Source organism: Homo sapiens, chromosome 16 (assembly GCF_000001405.40).
Source record: "Homo sapiens chromosome 16, GRCh38.p14 Primary Assembly".
NCBI lineage: Eukaryota > Metazoa > Chordata > Mammalia > Primates > Hominidae > Homo > Homo sapiens.
The window spans coordinates 9,091,089-9,116,603 of NC_000016.10; the positions used below are offsets into that span (position 1 = coordinate 9,091,089).

Here is a 25,515-nt window from a genome sequence, read left to right on the forward strand (position 1 = left end):
CCCAGGGGCTGGAGTAAGCACGCTACCACCCACTATACCTCTCAGTGCCCGCGGCACAGGAGCCGCACTCGACTTTGCATCCCCCCAGGGCCTGTACACGCCGGAAAAGCTCCCGCGGGGTGCGGTCGCTGGGCCTCGTCACGTGATCCCCACTCAACGCCCCTGAGCGGGGGGGGGAGCAGCGAGCAAGTGCGCATGCGCATCCCTTCTAGCTCTTCCCCTCCACCCCCCACCCGCCCCCTTGGCTCGGACGCAACCACTGTCAGCTCCTCCCCCTCCTCCTCCTTCATCCTTCCTGACATTCACTCCCTTCCCCCAGCCAATTGGTTACGTCAGGCAGACAGGCCGAAGAACCAATCACGACGCTGTGCTCAGAAGCCGCCACGCGGAACCGGCCGGATCCGACTAATAGGGGCCCTTGGAGCGGCCACGCCTCAACCGGGCAGGGTAGCTTGGGCCCAGTGGGCGGTGCTTCTCCTGTCAGCATGTGGGCGGGGTAGGGCGGGGACCAGCAGCCGCAGAGCCGTCCTCGGCGGTGGCGACGACGACGACGTTGCTCAGTCTTGGGGTGGGCTCCGCGGTGCAGGCCGAGCTGCGCGGAGGGCTCGGCGATCAGCGGCGGCGGCGGCAGTGGGGAGGCCGCAGCGCCATGGGGGGGCGTTAGACAGGCTGCGGCGGCCGAGGCGAGGGGCGGCAGCGGTTATCTGGTCCGCGGCGACCTTCGGCCGGGCCCGGGGGTGGGAAGGCCTGGGGCGGGGGTCGTCCCTGGTTGCACGGGGCCGCGGGGCGGGGCTCGCCGGCCGTCGGGGTGCAGGAGGCCTGGGCCGCTGAAAGGAGAAGGCGCCGTCGGTCGCCAGGCCCTGCCGCCGGGCCGCTTGACGACGACGCTCCCGCGGGGGCCCCGCCTGAGGAGGACGCGGCGGCGGTGGCGGCGAGGCCGCGGGAGGCCGCGGAGGATGGAGGAGCGGAAGGAGGAGGGCGAGGCCGAGATCCAGGAGCACGGGCCCGAGCACTGGTTCTCCAAGTGGGAGCGGCAGTGCCTGGCCGAGGCCGAACAGGACGAGCAGCTGCCCCCCGAGCTGCAGGAGGAGGCGGCGGCCGCCGCGCAGCCCGAGCACAAGCAGCAGAAGCTGTGGCACCTCTTCCAGAACTCGGCCACCGCCGTGGCCCAGCTCTACAAAGGTGAGGCCGCCGCCGCCATCTTGGTACCGCTTGGCCGCCCCCGCCCGGGCCCGGCCCCGGCCCTATCGGCTCAGCGGCCGCTTCGGGGGGCCGCGACGGCGGCGGCCTCGGGGATCCCGGCCGGTGGCTCCGCGGCCCTGCCGCCCCCTCCCCGCAAGATGGCGCCGCGGGAGGGAGGCCCGGGGTTGGGGGGACAGGCCAGAGCCGGCGTGGGGGTAGCCCCGCTTTGGGGTGGTCCGAGGGTCCCCGCTCTCCGGGCCCGGCCACCCGGTGTCCCCCTCGGCCCGGAGACGGGAGAGGAGGAGCCCCCGTCACAAAATGGCGAAGGGAGACGGCGGGGCGGCCCCATTGTGCCCTGAGCCGGCCTCGGGGCGGGGACTGCCAGGGGGGGCGCTTCCCTGCGCCGCGGCTCGTCCCTGATCTGTGCCCCTGAGCTCTGCGGCATCCCCTTTTCCCCGCCGCGACCTCCCTGCCCCCCCGGTCCTCACACTGGGTTTGGGATCCCGAAACCCCTGAACAAAATGGCGAAACCTAATATGGCCGTTCCGGAGTGATTGACGCGCAAATAACATTCTTGTTCTCTTTCTTTCTCTTTCTATGTGTGTTTCTTTTTTCTTTTTGGTTTTTTTTTTTTTTGGCTTGCTTTTCAGACCGAGTGTGTCAGCAGCCAGGACTTTCTCTCTGGGTCCCCTTCCAAAACGCAGCCACCGCCGTCACCAATCTCTACAAAGGTAAAGATAACCTTGCTGCATTGCCGATTCAGGGAAGGGCCGCCTGCGTCAGGGTGTCTGCCCTGCGTTCCAAGTGTGTTTTCTGCTCCCCAGCCCAGCTGCTAACCTTGAATACCTTGCAACTTGAGAATCGCGGCGGTGCTCTAGCTAGATCCACCGGAGGCGATTTTGACACCTCCCTCCGCCCCCCGGGACAGATGGCAACGCCTGGGGACGTTTTTGGTTGGCTTCTCCTAGAAGGGGCTGTTGTTGGGCACCCAGTGTATAGAGGCTGCTGAAGGTCCTGCAGTGCCCAAGATAACCGCCCCGGCCCCCTCTCAGCGAAGAATTATCATGCCCCTAAAGTCAGTAGTGCTCAGGTTGAGAAGCGTTGAGCTGGAAGACGGCTGAGCCTTGCCTCCCTCTGGAAAAGACATTGAGGGAAGATAAGAGTTGATGTTTTTTGTACTACAGTCGGAAGTGGGACGAACTTTATGGAAAAGATTCTTGAGTTAGGCATTTGAAAGCGTGGCAGTCTATATAGTTTTGAAGTGCTTGAAAGCTTGCTAATCGGAGTCATCTGCGCGCATGTTAACGTGCTGCTCTTCTCTAGCAATTTGATCAAGTGTTTTCTGTTAAAAGGATCCTATATTTGATTATAAGTTGCTGGCAGGAATTCTGTTGAGAGTTTTGAGTCCATAGGTTTGTTTTATGGTGGTTCCTTTCTGGAGTTAATCCCCCTCCCTTTGTGATGACATGAAGATGTGTAAGTAAACGTTCTTGCCCATTTGTGCATTCTTGGTAACGGTGGGTTTAGATTTTGTGCCTTACTGGTTTTGAAGATTGAGAAATTTGGGGTTGATTTTTTTTTTTGGCAAGATTTTTATGGAAAAAGGATTTGACTTTGTTAATCTTAAGAAATATGTAATTAAATGTTTTCAGACTTTTAAAAGTTGCTCAGAACAGTAATGGAACTTTGTGCATTTCAAAAATACCAATATTGGTATTTTTGCCATATATATTTAGGCCATATATAGGTTGAAACGGGCTATGAAGGTGCTGCTTGACTGTCAAGTTGTTAATTTTTGCATAAGAATGTGCAAATGGCCGCAGCATCTTGTAGGAAAAAATATCTCCTTGTGAGATTTCTTGAGTAGACTACAGTTTTTTGGGACAGTAATTTGAGAACTGGTAACAAAGTGGTGAAAAGAAACGCTAACTTTAGGGAATGAGGAACTGTAATAATAATAGTCCAGTCTTACTGAAAAAAGGGAAACATGGTTAAATAGTGCCTCAGTGGTTAGCTTTGATTTTATATAGCTGTTTGTTAAATTGTGACTGAGTAAATTGCTTCAACATCTATCAGTGCTGACGGTCTTGAACGTTTTGGAATGGCTCTTGGTTTTGTCCAAAAACAGAATTTTGAAATAATACTTAATTAAAAAAAAGGTTTCTGGGAGTGTAATTTACATACAGTAAAATCACTGTTTTAGGATATATACTTTGATTTTTTTTTTTTAAGAAGTAGAATATATCTATCACCCCCACCTCCCAGTCCCTGGCAGTCACTGATTTGATTGCTGTTTTTTCTCCTCCATCATGTCCTAAATAGAATGGTGCAGTCCTTGTAGCCTATTGTGTCTGGCTTGTTCCAGTTACTATGATAAGGTTCACCCATCGAGTTCGCATTGCAGGTGTGCATAGTTCAGTGCCTTTTGATTGGCTAGTATTACTCTATGGTGTGGCAGTACCATGGTTTATTCTTTTGCTTTTGTTGGTATTGCTTTGTGCTTGAAGGGGAAGGCAACACATTTTTAGTGTTTTTATGTGCCAGGTTCTTAGCCTAGGCCGTATAAAATGGGATTGTCCTCTGGCTTTGGTCCTGTTGGGTTCTTGTAGAATGTGTCCCTTTAGGACTAACCTAGCAGTTTTCGTTAGTGCTAACTTTTCGTGTAAGAAGATGGGTTCAGCAGTTGAACTCTGAAATAATCCTTAATTTGATTACTTCATTTAAAAATGTTTACAATTTGTTTGTTTTCCTGCTCAGAAAACTTAAGGAGGAACATTAATTTTATTTTTAGAAAACATCACATATGATTCTTGGATTATTGTAAATGCTAGATTGTTAGTCTGAACTAGTTTTATTTTGTACCTTGTTTCTGTACAGTGAAAACACATCCCTTGCCTAATAGAAATGGTAAGTTGTGTCTTGTGGAATTTGATAGTGCAACGTTTTCTTATTTGATTCAAGGAGTGTGTGGATAATACTCTGGATAGCCTCACACTTTTTCTTTTTCAGGGTGTGGTCTTTAGAGAACAGGCATACAGCTGTAGGAATAATTGGTTACCTTAAATAGAACCAATAAAATTAGCAAGGTGGTGTCACAAGTGCATGCAGCAGTAAGTAGTACTAAATTTAAATGATATTGGTTATAGTTCTGATTAAATATTTAAATATAATTTAAGGGGGGAAAAATTTGGTGGATACTTCTAAGTGGGCAGCAGGCAGCATTCCTGTATTTTGTATAATATCTGACAAGGTAAAAATGGCTTATTGTGCAGCCTGGGGACAATTTGGCACTCCTACCAGCTTCTTGATAACTACCAAGAAGTTCATTAGGTGTTTATCTCAATCCTGACCTTCATTAAGAAGGTCAGGATTGAGATTAAAAACCCAGCAGAGGGTCGCTTTTAGTTGTCAGAGGGCTTTTGAAAAGTTGAAAATTGAGTTAATTGGTTTGGTTGGAATGTGGCTAGAAGGATTTGGAAGATAATGTAAATGTAAGTTGAACTTCAGCAAGGACAGAATTCAATAAAATGGAGTGGGTGGTTACCTCTACTGTAAATAGTAGGGTCAGACTTGTCTTCCCCTTTCCAAAAAAGGAAGGAAGCCAAAATACTGACTGCTGGTTTTTGATTTGATAAATGCAAAGAGGATGGTGTTTCTTCAATATTCAGTAGTATCCTTAGATCAGTATATTTTTTGATTCCTGGAACTAAAGAAGGGGAGTAAAAAATCATTTTAATCTGGCTAGGGTTGATGTTTACCCAGTGTCATTGTGAGTTGGAGTCTACTGCCACATTGCCTGAGTTCAGATCTTGGCTCTGTTACTTCTTACCTTTATGGTCCTGGAGACAGTGAAGCCAGGTGTTAATTCACCATTGTGCTCCTTGACTTAATTAACTTAAATAGGGATAACTACCACAGATTCTAGTACAAGCTCTTAGCTTTGTGCCTGGCATAGTGAGTGCTCTGGCATTCATTGTGTTGGTGGTCAAGTTTTAAGTATTTTTTGGATTTTTCTCAATGTGGGCAGTGCTTAAAATGAAGGGAAGTAATAATAGTTTATTTTCTGTCTTTTTAAAAATTTTTTTTGTGTTGAAATAAACTCTGGTGTGTATTTCCTTCTTCATCTTCTTTCCCTAATTGGAGTAAATGTAAGTAGAATTGACAGGTGGGAAAAATAGTCTGATGCCCTTAAGTCCTCACTTTTGATACATCTTGATGCCAAGCCCTCTTTATATGTCTCACTTCAGTGTGGCCATTTTGGACTCGTACACTAAAGGAGAACTGAGCATAACTGTAAATGTGTGGGCCAAGTGGCAGGTGACTTAGAAACAAATGGCCAGAAATCATATTCTACCTGGAGACTGGTGGAGCTGGTTTGTGACTCACTTGGCTGCAAAAAATTATTACTGAGTTTGAGACTTTGTTCAAAATACCTTAGTGTGGATTACAGTGAGAAACCCTAAGCATTAAATTTCTATTTAACTTTTCATGCCTGTAATCCCAGCACTTTGGGAGGCTGAGGCAGGAGGATTGCTTGGGGCAATATAGTGAGATCCCGTGTCTTAAAATTTTTTTTTAATGAAAAAATTGTAGCTTTGTCAGAAGCAGTAGCCTCAGTTATACATAATACTTATTTTTTATAATAGACTGCTTTTTTTGTGTGTAGCTCTTATTTTTTTTCCTTTTTTGGAGACGAAGTCTCGCTCTTGTCCCCCAGGCTGGAGTGCAATGGCGTGATCTCGGCTCACTGCAACCGCCTCCCTGGTTCAAGCGATTCTCCTGCCTCAGCCTCCCCAGTAGCTGGGATTACAGGCGCCTGCCACCACACCAGGCTACTTTTTGTATGTTTAGTAGAGACGGGGTTTCACCATGTTGGCCAGGCTGGTCTTGAACTCCTGACCTCAGGTGATCCGCCCGCCTTGGCCTCCCATAATGGTGGGATTACAGGCGTGAGCCACCGCGCCTGGCTCTTTTTTTTTTTTTTTCTTTTGAGACAGGGTCTCATTCTGTCACCCAGGTGGGAGTGCAGTGGTGCTGTCTCAGCTCACTGTAACCTCCACCTTCCAGGCTCAAGTGATCCTCCCACCTCAGCCACTGAGTAGCTGGGACCACAGGCACCCATCACCATGCCCAGCTAAGTTTTTGTATTTTTGGTAGAGATGAGGTTTTGCCATGTTGCCCAGGCTGGTCTCCTGAGCTCAGGCGATCCACCTGCCTCAGCCTGCCAAAGTGCCGGGATTATAACTGTGAGCCACCATACCCAGCCTGTGTGTAGTTTTTCTGTGAAAGAATATGTTGGTTGCAAGTATGAGAAAACACAAGTTGGGCTGGCTTTAGCTGTATGGCCATGTATTGGCTCCTCTGACTTAAAAGGCCACAGTAGGATTGACTTAATTGAGCAGCCCAGGCTCCCCTGCTCTGTTCTCCCCTGTGTGCACTCGCACACTTTGTTATCAGGCTGGCTTCATTATGTTGGCAGAATGGCTTGTGGCTCACATCTTAGAGCCACTCAGTAAAGCTTAGAAGAGCCTAAAAATGACTTCTGTCATCTCTTGGCCATAACGGGGTCACTTGCTTACCCACAACCATTAATAGGGGTACATAGGGTTATGCACATGAGTTGAGAGCTAAGCCACAACCCCTTGAGCAAATGTGGAGGGAGCTTCTCTCGAAACATGGTTGCTATCTAAACAAAAACCTGGAGTGCTTTTAGGAAGGGGAGGACAAGGATTGGATGCCAGGCAGGCAACAAACAGTGGTTATTAAGATGCTCCCCCAGGGCTGGGGCGGGGGCTCACGCCTGTAATCCTAGCACTTTGGGAGGCTGAGGCGGAAGGATCATTTGAGGTCGGGAGTTTGAGACCAGCCTGACCAACATGGAGAGAAACCGTATCTCTACTAAAAATAAAAGATTAACTGGGCATTGTGGTGCATGCCTGTAATCCCAGCTAACTCGGAAGGCTGAGGCAGAAGAATTGCTTGAACCTGGGAGGCGGAGGTTGTGGTGAGCCGAGATCAGGCCATTGCACTCCAGCCTGGGCAGCAAGAGCGAAAATCCATCACACACACACACAAAATATTATCCCCCTGGTTCCTGGTCCTTTGTTTTGTGTGCTAGGTGAAGATTAAGTAAATACATAAGTAGCTAGGAGGTGTGCTTATTTTTGGATGCCACTTCCTTAGGGAATACGATTGGGAACAGTTTTATTTTGGCTGTGACTTAGATTGTTACATTCCTAAAGAAACAGTACATTTTCTTTACTGGTTGGAGTGCCAGGGCTCACACCTGTAGTCCAGCACTTGAGGCTGAGGGGAGAGGTTCTCTTGAGATCTTGAGGCTAGGAGTTTGAGATCAGGCTGGGCAACATAGTGAGACCCTGCCTCTACCCTTCCTCCCAAAAAAGAATAAAATATTTTTCTGTGTGGTGGACTGGCTAGTGCAAATTTAATTCTTAAGTTTAAAAATCACGTAGTCAGTAGTATTTCTTTAGAAGTGTTGCTTTGATGTAGCATTGTGCTCTTATGGTTTGTAGATTGTCTGCAATTGAGAGATGGCTTCTCATTTGAGGAAGAGAGGTCACAGAGGGAACTCTGTCAATGAACTTTGGACACAAGGCCCTTTGAACTTCAGTTCCTTGTTACAAACTTGCGATACCTGCTCTAATTCACATGAATCAATGTGTATCAAAAAGCTATAAGTAGAGTAATCTGATTAATTTTATGCAGTTATGTAAGAAAGTTATGATTTGGTCTTCAGAATCAATATAATTCTTTGCCCTCTGCCCCCACCCCAGCCCGTTGTGGTGGGAGAATTTGTCTTCTAAAATCTCTTGGATTCAGTTTCCCATGCTTATATAAAAGCATTTAAAGAAAAAAAAGGGAAATATGGGATACCTGCTATGACTGGTGTATGAATCAGTTCATTTTCTTTTTTTTTTCTTTTTTTGAGATGGAGTCTTGCGTGTCACCCAGCCTGGAGTGCCATGGTGCAATCTTGGCTCATTGCAACCTCTGCTTCCCAGGCTCAAGTGACTCTTCTGCCTCAGCCTCCCAAGTAGCTGGGATTAGAGGTGCCTGCCACCATGCCTGGCTAATTTTTATATTTTGAGATGAGGTTTCACCATGTTGGCCACGCTGATCTCGAACTCCTGGCTTCAAGTGATCCACCCACCTTGACCTCCCAAAGTGCTGGGATTACACGGATGAGCCACTGTGCCATGCCCGCCCAGTTCCTTTTTTGAATAAGGAAATGAATGTGTTGTGGTTAAAGGTTAGATTGACATTTCAGTGCTTGTGGAGTTTGCCTAACCTTCAAGTATGTGGCTCTTTTTCACAGTGACTTTGGTTTCTGTAAAATAGTGTTGGACGCAAGACTGGCCACAGCTTCTGTGCTGTTTTTCTGGGATAGGTACCCGAAAGTCCACGCTTCTAGAATTGGGGTGTGCTCAGAGCAGTGTTTGGCTGAGAGCCTTCAAGAGGCCGTGTGTGTGTGTATGAGATTATCCACTGTACACTAGTTTGTCCTGGGATTATGTTAAAATGTAGTCATGCCTAAGATTCTCCAGTAAGCATGCAGGTCTCCTAATTAGCTCAAGTTATGAGAAAGGTTTGTTTTCAGTCAGGTAACTATTTAAAAAGGACTCTATTTTAAATACTTCACCATTTACATGGGACTTTGTATTTTGGGAAATAACTGAGGTTGGGTTTGAGTGGTAAGGCAATTGGACTTGGTTTTCAGAATATATACTGTTAACAGTACAAAACTACATTATGCCCCGGTGGAGCAAAAACATACCTAAAACCTTAAATGTTGTTTCTGCTTTTCTCCTCTAGGACCTTCTAGTCTGTAAGGGTAGTGTTTGCAAAATGCATGACTTCTAGTGTGCTCATAGTGGGTTCTGACATTGAGACTTGGTTATCTCAGAATTTTTGAGGTGAAATAATTGGTCAGTTGCATAATTTTTTAAAAGAGGTTCACAACTTGTTACATAAGTGTCTTACATCTAAGCCAGGCCACTAGTGATTACTGAGTTTTCCCGATGTTCAAATCTGTGATGAAACCATTAGTCCCTTGCAGATCTGACTGTTGGACTTCTTGTGTCTTCAATCAAAACAACCCAAAACTTGGCCAAGCTCTTCACAGGATATTTTTTTTTTTTTTAAACACCTCACGTGGCCCCTTCCTTTTGGCCCTTGAGTTTTGTATCAAGTTTAGCTTCTCTTTTTTTGCTGTCTGGTTTGCCAGGTGTATGTTTACATGCTTACTTCATCTTTTTTTTTTGAGAGAGAGTCTTACTCTTTCGCCCAGGCTGGAGTGAAGTGGCGCATTCTTGGCTCACTGCCACCTCTGCTTCCCAGGTTCAAGTGATTCTCCTGCCTCAGCCTCCCGAGTAGCTGGGATTACAGGTGCCTACCACCCATGCCTGGCTAATTTTTGTATTTTTAGTAGAGGCGGGGTTTTGCCATCTTGGCCAGGCTGGTCTCGAACTCCTGACTTCAGGTGATCCACCCACCTTGGCCTCCCAAAGTGCTAGGATTACAGGCATGAGCCACCATGCCTGGCCATCTTTCTTTGCACTCTCCAAGCCTGCTTCAGACTTGTTTCTTGTATCCCTTTTACTATGCTTTAGACTTTTTTTCCTCTGTTTCTGCAGGGCTGGGCTTACCTCCATTTGGCTTTTGAAGAATAAAATACCCTCATTCTCTTCAGAAACAGAAACTTCTTCATTTACAAGCTTGATTAAAAGCAATTCTTCTAGGTAGGATAGGTTTAAAAACCTGATTGCTTCTAGGTTAACACATTTTACATTTATCCTTTATGTGGTGTGATAAGTTTAGTTGGTCAATGACTTGATTTCTCTTAATGCCTCCAGCTCTTTCAGAATCATTTAAGTTTTAGGTACAGCACTACAAGGTCATCTTTAGGTTTGTCCACCCCTTTAGGGTTGGCTCATCTAAATCTTTTCCTAAAGAGATGGGAAAAGTGGTGACCCTCTCTACTGTTATTTACATTCAAAATGGAGTTCATGCTTTGTTTATGAAGAAGTGAGAAATCAAAATTATTGATTCATGTTATACCAGTAGTGAGACACTGGAGAAGTTACTTCACTCTTGAGCTGCTTTTTATATTTGTAAAATTAGAATAATCCACCTTCTCAGAGTTGTGATGGAGAAGATATGAATGCACTCTATAGCATATCAGGTTTCCAAATTGATGTTGAATTCTTGTCCTGGTCCTTTTCATTTTAAAGTATTTTTTCTTTCTTTTTAACATCCCAGGTCCTACTTTGATTATTTTTTTAAGAGAAAAGATCTGTGGACAATATCCTTGTTTTTCTTTGTCTTTAGCAATAAAGACTGTCATCTGCTTAAGAGTAGGCCTTATTATAAAGTTCTGGTTGTTGTGCTTCCCTCTTGCCATTTTCTTTAATAGTGCAAATTCAGCTTGGCATCCTCTGTGATGTCTGGATGATTTTTTTTTTTTTTTTCTGGAACATAGCTTTACATTGTTTGACTATTGCCCATCCTTTGAGAGTCTGCTGTAGATGTAGCAGACAAGAAATTAAAGCCGCCGGTTGCAGTGGCTCACGCCTGTAATCCCCAGCACTTTGGGAGGCTGAGGCAGGCGGATCACAAGGTCAGGAGTTGAAGACCAGCCTGACCAATATGGTGAAACCCGGTCTCTACTAAAAATAGAAAAATTAGCCAGGCATGGTGGCGTGCGCCTGTAATCCCAGCTACTCAGGAGGCTGAAGCAGGAGAACCCTGGAGGCGGAGGTTGCAGTGAGCTGAGATCGAGCCATCGCACTACAGCCTGGGCAACAGAGAGACTCCGTCTCAAAAAATAAAATAAAACGAAATAATCAAAGCCGGGAAAAGTAATAGAGAAATGTACACAGTATTGTTGCTTTTACGGAAAGTTCAAGGATAAAGTAACGATGTTGGTTAATGCCATTAAAGACATACTGGTGATGTTCTGCTGGCACAGCAGCTCAATTAAAACTAAATAATAGTCACTTAAATTTTCAAATTTTTTTTCAACTAAATGAAACCACTAAAAGGTAGAGATCATTTTACCAAAACCCAGGTGGAGTATATGCAGAGAATTTAGTCTAGGAGATCTGTTGGGAATGGTTGAGTTACAGGAAGCTGTTGAGAACTGGAAGCAAAATGAGTATACCCAGGGAAATGAATAAAGCTTTTTGTTTTCCACCATGCTATTTGGTTTTAGTGTTGAGCCATCAGTCAGAATTAATTTTTCCTTCTAAAACATTTGCTGCTGCCTTCAGCTTGTTCCTCATTCTTGGTGCTGAATCTGTCAGTAGGAATGTATCTCCACAATGACGTGGTAAATGCAGATGAGCGTGGCCTGAGGCATGTGCAATATTTAGACATCTGTTGAATGATGTGATGCAAGTTATTTTAGGTAATTTCATTAAAGATACCTAATCTCTCTGTTTCTGTTAAATTTTTTTTTTTAACAAGCCAAGCTCCAGGACTGTGATAAGTAAACACTGAATTTAGACCATTAAGATTAAATGTTACATATAACATTTTCATTATGACTGAAATCATTTCAGTTTATATTACTGATGGGCTCAGAGGCCACATCATGGTATTCACTTTGGTTAAATTGTAAAATGGTTTTCTTTAGAAGGGAATACGGGCTCTAATGGTCATGATACATGTTTTCTTTTTCTTTTTTTCTAACAGAAAGCGTGGATACCCATCAACGAAGTTTTGATATTGGAATTCAGATTGGCTATCAGCGACGCAATAAGGATGTGTTGGCTTGGGTTAAAAAACGCAGAAGAACTATTCGTCGAGAAGATTTGATCAGCTTCCTGTGTGGAAAAGTTCCTCCACCACGAAACTCTAGAGCTCCCCCAAGACTGACTGTAGTGTCCCCTAACCGAGCTACTTCAACGGAAACTAGCTCATCTGTAGAGACTGATTTGCAACCCTTCCGGGAAGCCATAGCTCTGCATGGTAAAGCCGTTTAAACATATTTCTTTGGAAAAATGGTTAAGAGGGTGCCTGTGGACCCATTTTTCACGGTTAGGTTTAGGTCCAGATATACTGTTTTTTGTCTTACAGTAAACAGCTTGCTCTAGAAATGTTTAATAGAATGTAAGCTAAGAACTTAATATGGGCGATTTCTGTCAGCTAACCTATCCTAGAAAATGTTTTTAGAAAGTTAGTTTGAGCTTATTGGTGTTAAAATGACATATCTTTCTGCAGTGTTGATTAGAATTTATCGCTTTACACTTATGTGTTGTACGTGTTTTTTTCCTCTTCTGAAGTCAAAGAGGAAGTTCTTGTGTCTTAAGAATTCTGTTATATTTCTAATGGTCCATGACAGGCAAGTAAGGTGGGAAATTGTTGGGTTAGTTCTCATGGGACCTGGGACCTCCCTTGACACCTTTCTTACTTGGTTTGCTGTAGATGGTGGGAGAGGATGGATGTAAGACTTGACCTTCTGCCTGTCGTCCCTCAGGTCCCTTGCACTTTAAGAGGCAGGACCAGCAGAGTGCAGCCAGTGGGCAGGTGGATCTCTATCTCCCCAGGCCAGACCTGTCATAAGAAGGCACTCTTGGCTAAGGGATTTTAGTATTGCTGGAGAAACCCGGGAAATGTAGTCAGTGATAAGTCTGTTGTTGCTTGTTGCTGTCTAATACAGACTTCCAAATAGAGCTGGGAGAGTTAACCTGTGTGACAGCATTGAATACTGCTGTAGGAAAAAAAGCAACAGAATAATAAGACTTGCTTGAAACCATGATGGAAAGATGGATCACGCAGATGGCTAAGCAGGTAGAAGTAATTAGGTCATGAATCCTTTTTTTCTTTTTTTTTTTTTTTTGGAGACGGAGTTTCGCTCTTGTGGCCCAGGCTGGAGTGCATTGGCGCGATATTGGCTCACCGCGACCTCTACCTCTGGGTTCAAGCGATTCTCCTGCCTCAGCCTCCCGAGTAGCTGGGATTACAGGCATGTGCCACCACGCCGGCTAATTTTTTAGAGACAGGGTTTCACCGTGTTGGTCAGGCTGGTCTCGAACTCCCAACCTCAGGTGATCCGCCCACCTTGGCCTCCCAAAGTGTTGGGATTACAGGTGTGAGCCACTGCGCCTGGCCATGAGTCTTGTTGAAAGTTAACATTTTTGGGCCATAGTACAGGTCATCTAAAACAAAGTAACCTGGTAAGGTACTAAGAAATAGTGGCATATAAAGAAACTTTATAGACGTTGAATCATTGAGACTTTATAATACCTGTAGAGATCTTGTTCTCTCTGGCAAACCGTAGTTCTTTCCTGAAACCCCAATGTTGTTTTTTCCCTTGATAGTGTTTAGGACAATTAAAAACAAAAACATGAATTGCAGGAAAGTTCAGGTTGTGTGGATGCAGTACTTTAAGACTGCACACTGTTCCTGACACAGTGGAATAGTTAGGCTGTCAGAACTTTGGAAGCTCAGGCAAAAATGGGATTGATCTGTTTATGCTGAATTAGAGAGTTTCACATCTTTCCCCCTAAAGTTTGGGAAAACAATTAACTAGAGGTGTACATAGTTTGTTAGATTAATTTTAGCGCATGGTAATATTTGATGCAGTTGTCTCTCCTTAAGTATTGTGATTTTCTTCCTTTATTAAGAGGGTTGTGGGTCATTCCATGCTTCTCTTAAGGTATCTTTTTACTCTGTTTTACTGTTATATTTTAGAAGATAGTTTTAAGAAACATAAAAACCATGCTTGTTATCTTAACGTAGTAGTAGTGTACATAATAGTAAAAAGGGCAAGCCAGCCCCCTCTGCCCTCGAAAAACTGTATTCTCCAACTCCCACTACATTTTCTCATATTGAATCTGTTCCACCTGTGATTTATTGTTTTCCTGAACTTTGGGAGTTTTAAGCAATGATACAGTTGAAGGGACTGTTTATAATTTTCACATGTTTAAGTTGTGAGGCTTTAAAACTTAAATATAAGGCTTTGTCTAGGAAGAAAATGATCTTTACCTTCAATAAATTTATAATGTAGCACTAATCCAGTATAGATTGGAGACTGAATGCATTCTTACTCTTAGGGTTCATACCTCTAATTCATGTGGTTAAGACAGTGTTGTGGTGAAGTAATAGGGCCCCTTGAAAGAATCTACAGAAACATAAATTATACTGAGTTGTGCTGTACTGGTTTGTGAGAACATCAGTGTATTAAGGAGAATGGTAGTTTAATTTGAATATTTAAAGAAAGTAATTTGAATGGTTCTAGTACTAGGGCCATTATTAACTAGTAACATAGATTAGTGACTTCAACTGGGTGTCCTTATTATCTGATTTGTCTGAAGTGAAAACTGTTAAGGTGCTCTTTTAAAATGTATTTGGAAACACCATAGTTAGGGTAAATACAATGTCACAATTCACTCTTGCATATTATTTGCTTAGCCAAATTTATGAATTCTAAGTTAGGCCAAATTGAAGGTTTTGGAGTTTTACATTGTGGGTGAGTCTAAATTCATGCGTTTGGCAAGCACAAGGACATGGGAAAAGAATCTGGTATTTTGAGGCAGGCTTGAGTTTATAATGAAAGCAAACTCAGTTCCTCTTCATGTCCTATGTATTTAAGAGAGGACAGTTTTCCCTCAGTTTTTTTCCCCTTCCTTACCCCTACCCCCATCAAATACAGCCCAACCAAATAACTGTGTTCTTAATTTAAAGGAAAATGGCAGACTTGACACCTGCTGAATATTTCGTGTAGACAGAGTATGACAATGAATGAGATCCCCAGTCATTGCCCTTGTAAGCCTGGGAACCCAGTTTAGTGGGAGAGACTAATGTAAACAGCTTTAATCAAAAGTATATCAATTGGCCGGGTGCTGTGGCTCACACCTATAATGCCGGCACTTTGGGAGGCCAAGGTGGGTGGATCACTTGAGGTCAGGAGTTTGAGACCACCCTGGCCAACATGGTGAAACCCTCTCCCTATTTAAAGAAAAAAAAGTAAGGCATATCAATTTATGGTTATCAAATAGGTTTTTTTTTTTTTTTTTGAGACTGAGTGTCGCTCTATAGCCCAGGCTGGAGTGTAGTGCTCACTGCGACTTCCGCCTCCTGGGTTCAAATGATTCTCGTGCCTCAGTCTCCCGAGTAGCTGGGATTGTAGGCGCCTGCCACCACGCCCAGCTAATTTTTGTATTTGTAGTAGAGATGGGGTTTCATCATGTTGGCGAAGCTGGTCTTGAACACCTGACCTCAAGTGATCTGCCTTAGCCTCACTGCTTGCCCCTAAGTGGTGGGATTGCAGGTGTGAGCCACTGTGCTGGCCTCAAATAGTTTTTATCAAAGCTACTTCAATTAGTGGTTAGCAAGGCTTAAAGACTAATTCAGTGCTTTATTTTGACACTTGTTCGCAACATGTTGCTTTTTTTCCTGTGTCCTATGGGACCTAGTCATCTGTATGTTAGATTCACAGAGGAATTAAAGAGATAAACATGCATGTGCTAAATTGATTTCTGTCTTGCTTTGTTATCCTATAATAATGTTATAAAATAACATTATTATAAATTTCCCAAGAGTTGAATTAATACCAACAACTGGTAACTCGTTTTTATGTAAACAGCATACTTGAGACCAGAAATCTTCTGGATCACTTTGTGGATCTCTGCCTGCCATTCTCATTGGTCCTCTGTTCATCCCTTTTCTAGAGCTTCTCCTTACCTTGGCTTCTCTTCTGCCACATTGGCCTGCCTGACCTGTCCTCAGGCCCTGTCACTGCCCTAGATTACGTTTCCCATGTCTTCACTTCCAAATCTGGACCTCTCGTTTAGACCTTCTCTCCTGACTGCCAGATGGCATGTCCCACTGTCCTCCGGTGTACATCTCCAAATTGTCCCACAGGCATTTATCTCAGATGAAGTTTCAGGTTGGACTCATTCTTCTGCCCCAACAGCAGAATGACTCATTGAGCCATTGAGCCATTCAGCACATTCTCTATATGGCAGATTCGGTGCTGTCTCTGGAAATACATAAACATAGAGCGATTCCTTTTTCTGTTGAGGCAAAATATGGATTTGGTTAATTTCTATTCACGTCATGAATGTGGTATGTGGAAGGTCTTCTGAGAGCAGAAAGGGATGTTTCACAGCACAGCCCGGCTGTGTGGTGCTCAGGGCAGGCCCTCTGGAGGAGGTGAGCCTGGGCTCTTGGCCTAATGTTTCAGCTCTCACTTTCCAGTCCTGAGCTGTTGTTGCCAGTCCATCTTTCATGAGACCATTGGAGTGATCTTTCTGGTCTTGTCACTTCATGGTTTAAAGTTTCCCTGGGCCTACACAGTGAAGTCCAAATTCAGCATGGTATTACAAGACCCTTATGATCCAGTCTTAACCATTGGTTAGGTATCCTACCCATACTGTTTATCTCTTGAATACCTCTATGCTCTTTGACAAGTCCAGCCCCTACGTGTTCATACCTCACTTCTGTGACACAGCCTTGCTTCAGGGCTCCCAATCTCTGTAGCCTCCCTGAACTGTGCATTTGCTCTGCTGCTTGATTTGTTTCTGTGACTGTTCCATTCTCCTCGGGACACATAGCAGGGACCTTGTCTTGGTCCTTTTTTTTTTGGCTTTAACAGAACATAGCAAAGAACCTGACATAGGTGTAGTCTGAGTTTACCACTGGGGTTATCACAGAGGTCTGCTAAGTGAATACAACACAGTGGGGACCCAGAACCTCTAGAAAGGGTTGAGGATTACAATCCCCAGATAGCTACAATCAGGGAATAATGTAACCTGTTTGCCTAGGGTGCTACATGGTAATCTTGAATTAGAACAACTGAGACTTCCATGGGACCTTAGGGTGATAACCATTAAACCTACTCTTTCAGTGTTTACTTTGTAAAAGCATCACACTAAGGAGGTTGTCATTTAATCCTCACACCTACCCTGGGTTATTAACACTGTTGATGAAGAAAGCCTTACTTGGCTAAGATATGGAGCAGGTTAGTAAGTGGTAGAATAGATACTCCAGTCCTGTCTCCAAAATGCAAATTTTTTTTTAATTAAAAAAATTTCTAATTTTCAATATATTTATTTTTGATTTTTTATTTTCTGTAGAGTTGGAGTTTCGCCATGTTGTCCAGGCTGGTCTCGAACTCATGGGTGCAAGCCATACCCCAACCTCGACCTTCCGAAGTGTTGGGAATACTGGCATGAGCCATGATGCCTGGCCTCAAAATGCATACCCTTAACCACTATGCTCTCACATTTTTAGATGTGGGATTTCTGTCTACGACGTCGCCCCCACTAAGACCTAGGGCTTAGGTGTCGAGGTGGGAAAGATCTTGAGGCTTTTCTTCTCAAAATTAATCAGAAACGATGTGAATTTTATATCTCTTTCTGAGGTTTTCCCCATAAGCTAATCGGGATTAGTAGACTTAAAGGTGAATGACCAACTGTATCCCTGGTTCACTGGTTAGGAAGAGTACATAGTCTTTGTGTATAGGCTATTTTCCTCGGTAACCTTGGGCAACATGCTTGACTTCTCCAAGCCAGTCTCCTTTGTGAAAGGTGATATACTTACAAGACATTATATTAAATGAGAACCCAGGCAGGTTACCTACCCTACCATGACACTGGAAGTATTCTTTGCCTTAAGAAAAGGAGAATTGCTGGTTGGTTCCAGGTCCGGTGGGTACCCTCATTTCCCCTGGGCAATTTTACTGTAAAAATAGACCAAGGATCTCAAGGCCCAGTGGCTTTTGCCTTCTGGGATACTTTTTTACCTCCCTGTTTAGTAGTAAGGGTCACATTTTAAATTGCAGCTATCACACTGGAGGGATCAGATCATTTAGAACTTTGACTGCTTAAATATTACTCTTGCTAAGATCTTGAGCTTGTCTCATGTTGACAGACTAGTGAAGTTGGTTACGTTGTCTGTCTCCTCACTGGAGGGAGAGATTCAGAGTTGCCCTGTCCAACCCAGTGCTATCTCTGGAAAGGGTTGGATTGAAATCTAGTCTGCCTTCATTCTGAGGTATAATCATGAGGGTTAGGTGAAAGGGTCCCGAGTGAGAAGATGGCATGGGTCCTAGGGTGGGGAGCCCGATGCCAAGTCAGACTTCACTCGGTATGTTTATTCAAAGCCCCACTTTCACTCGTAGCATATCATAGGTGGTCTCTGCAAGTTGCTGACCCTGATTCAGACTGTTCCATAAAAGTCAGACACTTGGTTTTAGTTCCCAAACTGATTTTGATGACATTCTTGACTGCAGGGCTTGGAGTTAACCCCACTGGGCCTGAGTTGTCTCTCTGTAAAGTTACACATCATTTCAGACTCAAAGGCCTCTAGCATGCAGGGTCTGGTGTCATAATAGGCACCAATGGGAACCATTACTGTCATTGCCTTTTTTGGCTTTAATCTTCCCAATTGTAAGTTCCTTTCATGTTTAAAACAAGTTTAAAAGACAGGGGGACTTAGGCATGCTCAGGCAGTCTAGCCTTTAATGTAAGAATTTCAAAACATAAAGGAAAAAAAACTTTTTTTTTTAAGCAGTACTTTGTGAGTTACAAGACAGCAGCAGCTCCTTAGTGTTGATTGCCGAGGCCTTTTTGGTTTGAAAACTCTGCTTCCTTTGTGAATTTGGTGTTAGGAGTTCTTATTGTTATTCTGCAGCCTTTACTATTGTCCTTTATTTACTGAACACAGTGAATACCAAGCACTGTTTATTAGAGGTTAGGAGTAGGGGCAGGTGATTAAAAAAACAAAAAAGCTAATAATCTCCTCAAGCAATTTCTGGCCTAATAGAATTATAGTAGACAGTGAAGTATCTAAACCCAGGGAATCAGATTGAGGCACCATGTCCATCGCCTTGAGAATTAATAGGCTGCATTTCTGGGTTCTCCTTTTTTTTTTTTTTTTTGCCCAACTGAGTCTTTCTGTGGACTTACATGGAACTTCTTATTCTCTTAAATCATTAAGTTACTTGACAATATTCTTGGATTTGGAGAAACTGGATGTAGGGCCGTATGAAAAAATCATTCGAAATCAGATTTAGGGGTATAAGGTTGGATAGGAATGTTTTAGAAAGAAGAATGTAAGGCAGATAACTAATTTGTCACATCCAAAGTATAAAACTGCTACTTTTTCCCTAGAAAAGGGAAGCTCATTTTAGGCAGCCTAAACCAGTAAGATTTTCTTCCTCCTCCAAGTGCAGATTTTTGTACCTTTCGTTTGTCAAAACATTCTTTGGCCCTATGCATGCCAGAGTGATATAGAAAGGAAGTTACCACATTTTTTTGAGAACAAATCACTCCTGATAAAATTTCTTAGACAATTGATAATCATTTTAAGAAGAAATTTAATTGTATTTAGCTCTGTGTCTCGCCCCTTTGGTGTCACTCTTCTACCTCTTCCATCACTATAGCTAAATATTTAGAAGTATATCTTGACACCTAGCACAAATGTTTTGGTTAAGTATCTTAAAACTGATGGATGGTATGGCTGGGGCAGCATGGCTCACGCCTGTAATCCCAGCACTTTGGGAGGCCAAGGCGGGTGAATCACCTGAGGTCAGGAGTTTGAGACCGGCCTGACCAACTTGGAGAAACCCCGTCTCTACTAAAAATACAAAAATTAGTCAGGGGTGGTGGCGCATGCCTGTAATCCTGTCTACTCAGGAGGCTGAGGCAGGAGAATTGCCTGAACCCGGGAGGCAGAGGTTGCAGTGAGCTGAGATCGTGCCATTGCACTCCAGCCTGGGCAACAAGAGCAAAACTCAGTCTCAAAAAACAAAACAAAAACCTGTTGGTATAGTACGAAAGAAACGTCTTGCAGTTTTCTGTTGCAGAGAATTAATTAGAACCAACCTGTTGGATTATACACATTCACCTTTCAGAATCCTTTCTTCTCTGTGGAAACCCACACTCTCAGCAGTGTGTGGGAACACAGTAGATTCTTAAGGAATGCTTGTTGAATGTTGCAGTCTGCATCTTCTTGAAGTAACAGAACTGTTGGTAGCTGTTTAAAAGTAAAATGTGTCTAAAGACCTTTTGGAAATTAAGATGTAAGAGATTAATGCACCAAAGCAGTCTCTTAATTACTTAAAATGAATTATTTCAAAGAATCTTTAATTGAATTTTCTGTGAAGTCTGGAATTTGTAAATTATGTCCCTTTGTTCAAACCAGCCCCTGAAAAGAACAATTAAGGCAATTAAGATAGCATTAAAGTTTTCAATGAAGTTGGCATTTTCTGTGTATTAAGATTAGATGTTAGCTGCTGAAGTTTGTGGAGGTCGGACATAAAGCTTCCAACATCAGTAATGCAAAATTGTCTTGAACCTGCGATAAAATTTTGTTGGACTTTTTTTTCATTGCAGTGAAAAGGGCCATGTAGCATGCCTCAAAGCCAGGTTACTCAGCCTAGTCCTTGTTTAAGCAGTTTTGATATTCATTCAAGTTCAATTTTCTCACTGATTTTATGATTAATTTCTTGGAAAATTTGAAAGTTTTCAAGAAGTAAAAAATTAATATCTTGTTATCCCAGTATATAGAGATTAACTTCAGTTCAATGTTTGGTGCATTTTCTTCTAGTCTTTTTTTCAATGTATAAATATTAAAGTTATTTCATAGTTGAGATCATACTGCATATATGATTACTGTATCTTGCTTTTTTCATTTTAACGTCGTGAGCAATTTTCCCATGACATTACAAACTGTCTTTGAAAAATGGAAAACATTTGGGGCTGTCAGCATAACTGAAAATGTTTTCTTGGTGTGACACATGTATCTTTGTAATTGGTTTGATTTAGTGTGCTTTATTTCAATAAAAATTCAGTATTATAATTTACAGATTGGGGTGGGGAGTGGTATCTACTTCAAATTACTGAAATCTTCCTAGTAGAATTCCTTTTTAAATGTTTGAACTCCCCTGGTACATCTTAAACACGACATTGACACTGCAAGTGCTTGGATGTCCTGGCACCTCAGAACACAACTTTGTGCAAAAGGAGTGCTGTGCATCTGAATAGTGCAATTCATTTCCAATGCAAGAATGCCAGTTTCTTAGGGCCCCCGGTCAGGATATTACCCACTTGGTTTAAGTTGTGATTTCAAATCCCATTTTCTATGGGAGATACACTGGTGGAACAAATCTGCAGAGGGCCCTGCACCTGCGCTGGTGGATCAACGGTGTCTTCTCACCTCCAGGGCTAGCTGCCTTGCCTTCCCTCGTGGGGCTTAAGTGGCTGGGAAGCAGATAGACAGTGTAGATGAAGTCCTGGGCCACTGGCTGCTGGACTGAGGCAGTGAGATGACTGGGCTGGCATTTGTTCTTTCTCTGCCTGTGTGTGACCTCTAACTATGTGCCTGGAAACTGAATTACATGTAATTAATGCTGCAAACAGGATTTTCTTATTGCCTAAGCATGAACTTGGTATGAAAATAATAGTTAATAATTTACTATGTAACTTGGATTCTTATAACCTGGACTGTAAGTTTGTTTTAGCTCCAGTGGGAGTTTCCTTTTCAAAGTATGATGAAACCATCCTCATCTTTTCTACCCCTGGACTAATCATTTAAAATGGATACAGACACTTTAAAACTGCTGAGTTTATCTTGTGTTAAGCAATTAAGACTTCTCTGTCTAATCATGCTACTTGTTCTGCTTTTGTCAATTGATACTCTCATAGCCCTTTTGAAAAAGTATGTTTTTGTAGAAATTAAGTTGTATGCCCTCAGGACGTACAACTTGGTTTTTTTTTTTTGTTTTTTTTGTTTTTTTTTGTTTTTTTTTTAGTTCTGAAGCATGTTTAGATTTTTCTGTACTTGTATAGGTCTGATTGTTTATGTGGCTTAGCTAAGGTTTCCTAAAGCATCTTCTAGTAGCTGTCATTGGTTTGTAAAATAAAATTTGGGCTGTCAAAATGCACATTTTTTGGTTGTTAATCTTAATTATTTTTGACCCTTGTGAAAAGTCTTTTTGGGGAAGATTAGGTAGGCAGACTTTGAAAATATTTTCACTGCTATGAGAGTCAGTCATAGATCATATTGCACATTAAAGTTATCAAGATAAACACCCAGGTCATACACCCAGTAGAAAAAGATGATTTCCCAGAAGCTGTTAGAATTTTCAGATTGACCAAATTGATGTTTAACACATCTTCTTTTTCATGGAGAATGGCAGCTGAAACAATAAGGAACATTTGCTTGAAATCCCTAGTCCACTTCTGATACAGTGTTTTGAGCCTTCCATATTTGTTGTTAGGTATTAAACGTGCTGCCATGAGACTCCTATGTTAACAAGGGCATTAGGGTGGGGTTTGTTGAATTCTTTTTATAATTTGAAATGATAAAGGGGATCTTGATTTTAATTATTGAAGTAGCCCAGTTTATTGCTGAACGTGCCCATATTTTGCCATAATAATTACCTTTTGGATTATGAAACAAGTACGAAAGGTTATCTTTGAAGAACATGGGCACCTTGTAATATGTTACAGGCTGAGACACTAGGATGAAAGAAGGCACATCTCTCCCCTCAAGTTTAGTCTTGCGGTAGAACTTTAAAAAAAAGCCAACAATGGGGATAATTGAGTTTTAAACTTGATGGCAATGATTTAAGTGAAGAGAACACCTGGGTTTATTTTCTGGTGTTGGAGAGGTGAATAAACATCAACAGTTGAACCTTTGATTTCAGTGGATTTCAACATGAGGGGGTAGGACTTTGAAGTATTATTCTTTTTCAGAATTCGTAAGTGCCAGGCACTGTGCTTAGGTCATTAGATGGAGATGAAAAGATATTTTCTATAGGAAGAGACGGTTGATTGTACCATGCTGTAGAAAGATAGCTCAAGATTTTTTTTTGGTTTATTTTGTTTTTTAAAAGTAAGCTTGTGCCGGTTGGGGAAGAGGAAGTGAAGTTCCTTTTTGATGGTGTTGAGTTTGAGATGTCCAGTAGGCAGTTAGAAATCTGGGAGGGCCGTTGAGCTCATTAGTCTAGTTTTGGGAAACGTGTGTGGGTAAGGTAGGGGTTGAGGATATCACCCAGGGTGACACCAGCCTTTCAGGGGCAGAAGGGAACCCCACCAAGGCGACTGAGGAGTGAGCGGAGAGTTTCAATTTCAAGGAGGGGGAAAGAGGAGCCAGCAGGAAACTAAAATGGAGAGGTAGGAGAACCAGGGAAGGAGCCTCATAAGGGAGGTGCTGGGGAACAGGTGGGCTCACTCAGGGAGTGAATGTTGGGAGAGACAGACATTTGCAAATGTTGGAAGAGACAGATAGTTGCAGGCCTCACTATTTCAGAGAGCTGCAAATTGCATGATGTTGGTAGTCGGGATACGGTCTAAGGGTGAAGTGAAGAGAGCAGGAAGGGAAGAGAGAGAAACTGTTCAAAGAGATGAGGCCTAAGAGGCAGGCTGGCCCTAGGACCAACCTGAAGCCACCTTTTTGCTAAAATACTCTAGGCTTGGAAGAGGATCAGAATAACTGAATAGGAATATAGATTACACTTGGGTGGGAGTGCCAGCTCTTGTTTACTACCTGTTGACCTTGGATGAATTAACTTTTAAACTTGGGTTTTCACCTGCAGAATGGAGATATTATAGGTGTCATAGGAAGTAATTGACATAGTACCTGACACAGGAAGTATTCTCATGTTAATGCTTCTATTTTTTAATAGGTGCTAGCCTTGGAAAGGTTGAGAGGCTGAAGAGGGACAGTTTGATTTCCTCTGACCACCAGCAGGAGGGGAGGATGTGTCTTCTGCAGGGAGAGCAGCCAGGGGGATTGGTTGGATCAGTGCAGAAAGGAATGGGGGCACCTAGAGTGCGGAGTTGAGCACCTCAGAAGGGAGGTGTGGCCCTCAGGACATTGTCAGCATGTGCGATGATAGTGGAGGCCATGGATTTGAGAACATTTCAGAGAATATTTGATGGAGGGGAACGCCAAGGGGAATGTAATAGATTTGTGATAGGAGGCAGAGACTTTTCAACTTAAAATTCAAATTTAAACTACATTTTTAGGGAGTTCATGATTAGAAAGAATGGGCCCCTGTCAAATGAAACCTCTAAGCTTACTTGAAAATCTTATAAGTCCTATTCTTTGAAAATTAATTGATAGTCAAGCAATAACAGATCCCTAGGTGAGGAGAGAATAGTGGAAGGGGAAATTCCTAAGGCAGAAGATCACTGCCAGTGACGGTAGGTTTTTAAAAATGCAACACTGTGTTTGGTGTTTCCTGGCCTGACTCATACCTTTCACAGGTTTATCCTGAATGTTTAGGAGTGGAATGTAAGTTTGGCTCTTTAACTGTGTAAGAGTTTAAGGAAAGGAATAAGTATCCATGAGTGCTGGGTATATTCTGGATTCAGTAAAGTAACTCTTTTGTTTTTGAGACGGAGTTTCGCTCTTGTCACCCAGGATGGAGTGCAGTCTCGGTTCTTTGCAACCACCGCCTCCCGGGTTCAAGCGATTCTCCTCCTTAGCCTCCCGAGTAGCTGGGATTACAGGCGCCTGCCACCACGCCGGGCTAATTTTTGTATTTTTTAGTAGAGACGAGTTTTCACCATGTTGGCCAGGCTGGTCATGAACTCCTGACCTGAAGAGATCTGCCCGGCCTCCCAAAGTGCTGGGATTACAGGTGTGAGCCACTGCGCCTGGCCTTGGATTCAGTAACTCTTAATGTTGAAAACAAAGCAGCAGGATTCTTCACAACCCTCTCCCCTCCCCACTTCCATGAAGGATTAGAGAGGCTCATGATTGAGGCTGTCCTGAAGGATATCTACCAAATACATTCCAGACCTTAGGTGATCACATAGCCTGATTTGTCCAGGGTAGACTGACTTTGTACCTCATGTCCCAGTAGAAATTTTAACAGTGACTCTTTTCGGGCTCAACAGTAATCTGTTTTGGATGGCAAGTTATGTGATCACCTTATCTAGAGGGGATGTTGGAACAAGCCCACCTAGGCCTGGAAGTGATTTCTGGCTCTCCTGAATACATCACACACATACACACTCATCAGAGGGGTCTGTTGGAATGGTAACTTTGGGTAACCAAAAATGTCTTGTCTTTAAAGCAAATGTCTCCTGTCCTTATCTGTAAATTTTGTGCAGTACCTACCTCATAGATGGGAGAATTTAATGAGATATTTGTACACCTAGCACGGTGGTTGACACGTAGTAACTTTTAGTAATTGGTAGTTACCAATATTGTAGATATTGGTAGTATTACCAATAAAATATATGTCAAGGCCAGATGATATGTTTATCCAGAATAAAACTTAATTGCTTACTAGTAATCCCTTATAAAGGAAATAGGCAGACATGCTTTGACATTGTGACAACATGGAAAGTA

At 43.2% G+C, this 25,515-nt stretch overlaps 1 protein-coding gene across 3 annotated transcripts in view, besides 6 other annotated features; it reads left to right on the plus strand.

The window, feature by feature from the left end:
• Window positions 416-485: a silencer, noted in NCBI's record as "silent region_7184". NCBI's record gives its function as "represses an Ori minimal core promoter by ATAC-STARR-seq in GM12878 lymphoblastoid cells {active_cell/tissue: GM12878}" and the evidence as "EXISTENCE:reporter gene assay evidence [ECO:0000049][PMID:35858748]".
• Window positions 556-25,515, plus strand: part of HAPSTR1 (HUWE1 associated protein modifying stress responses) — a 29,992-nt gene continuing 5,032 nt past the window's right edge. Inside the window, exons 1-4 of one of the 3 annotated variants that reach the window (XR_007064871.1) lie at window positions 556-1,182; window positions 1,833-1,913; window positions 9,837-9,941; window positions 11,896-15,676. Coding sequence is in view for 2 of the 3 variants with exons in the window: in XM_011522462.4 (XP_011520764.1) it covers window positions 957-1,182; window positions 1,833-1,913; window positions 11,896-12,171; window positions 17,283-17,416 (717 nt within the window). In the remaining variant the exon portion in view is untranslated. Of the gene's footprint in view, window positions 1,183-1,832; window positions 1,914-9,836; window positions 9,942-11,895; window positions 15,677-17,282; window positions 22,094-25,515 lie in introns of those variants that run through there. The other 2 variants (XM_011522462.4, NM_014117.3) reach the window with 2 other exon arrangements.
• Window positions 656-995: a silencer, noted in NCBI's record as "silent region_7185". NCBI's record gives its function as "represses an Ori minimal core promoter by ATAC-STARR-seq in GM12878 lymphoblastoid cells {active_cell/tissue: GM12878}" and the evidence as "EXISTENCE:reporter gene assay evidence [ECO:0000049][PMID:35858748]".
• Window positions 1,206-1,705: a silencer, noted in NCBI's record as "silent region_7186". NCBI's record gives its function as "represses an Ori minimal core promoter by ATAC-STARR-seq in GM12878 lymphoblastoid cells {active_cell/tissue: GM12878}" and the evidence as "EXISTENCE:reporter gene assay evidence [ECO:0000049][PMID:35858748]".
• Window positions 1,856-2,025: an enhancer, noted in NCBI's record as "active region_10373". NCBI's record gives its function as "activates an Ori minimal core promoter by ATAC-STARR-seq in GM12878 lymphoblastoid cells {active_cell/tissue: GM12878}" and the evidence as "EXISTENCE:reporter gene assay evidence [ECO:0000049][PMID:35858748]".
• Window positions 6,148-6,647: an enhancer, noted in NCBI's record as "H3K4me1 hESC enhancer chr16:9191093-9191592 (GRCh37/hg19 assembly coordinates)". NCBI's record gives its function as "activates a minimal SCP1, AML or CMV promoter by ChIP-STARR-seq in primed H9 embryonic stem cells {active_cell/tissue: H9 hESC(primed)}" and the evidence as "EXISTENCE:reporter gene assay evidence [ECO:0000049][PMID:30033119]".
• Window positions 24,224-24,518: a silencer, noted in NCBI's record as "tiled region #1845; K562 Repressive non-DNase unmatched - State 17:Gen3'". NCBI's record gives its function as "represses a minimal TATA promoter and a strong SV40 promoter by Sharpr-MPRA in K562 cells {active_cell/tissue: K562}" and the evidence as "EXISTENCE:reporter gene assay evidence [ECO:0000049][PMID:27701403]".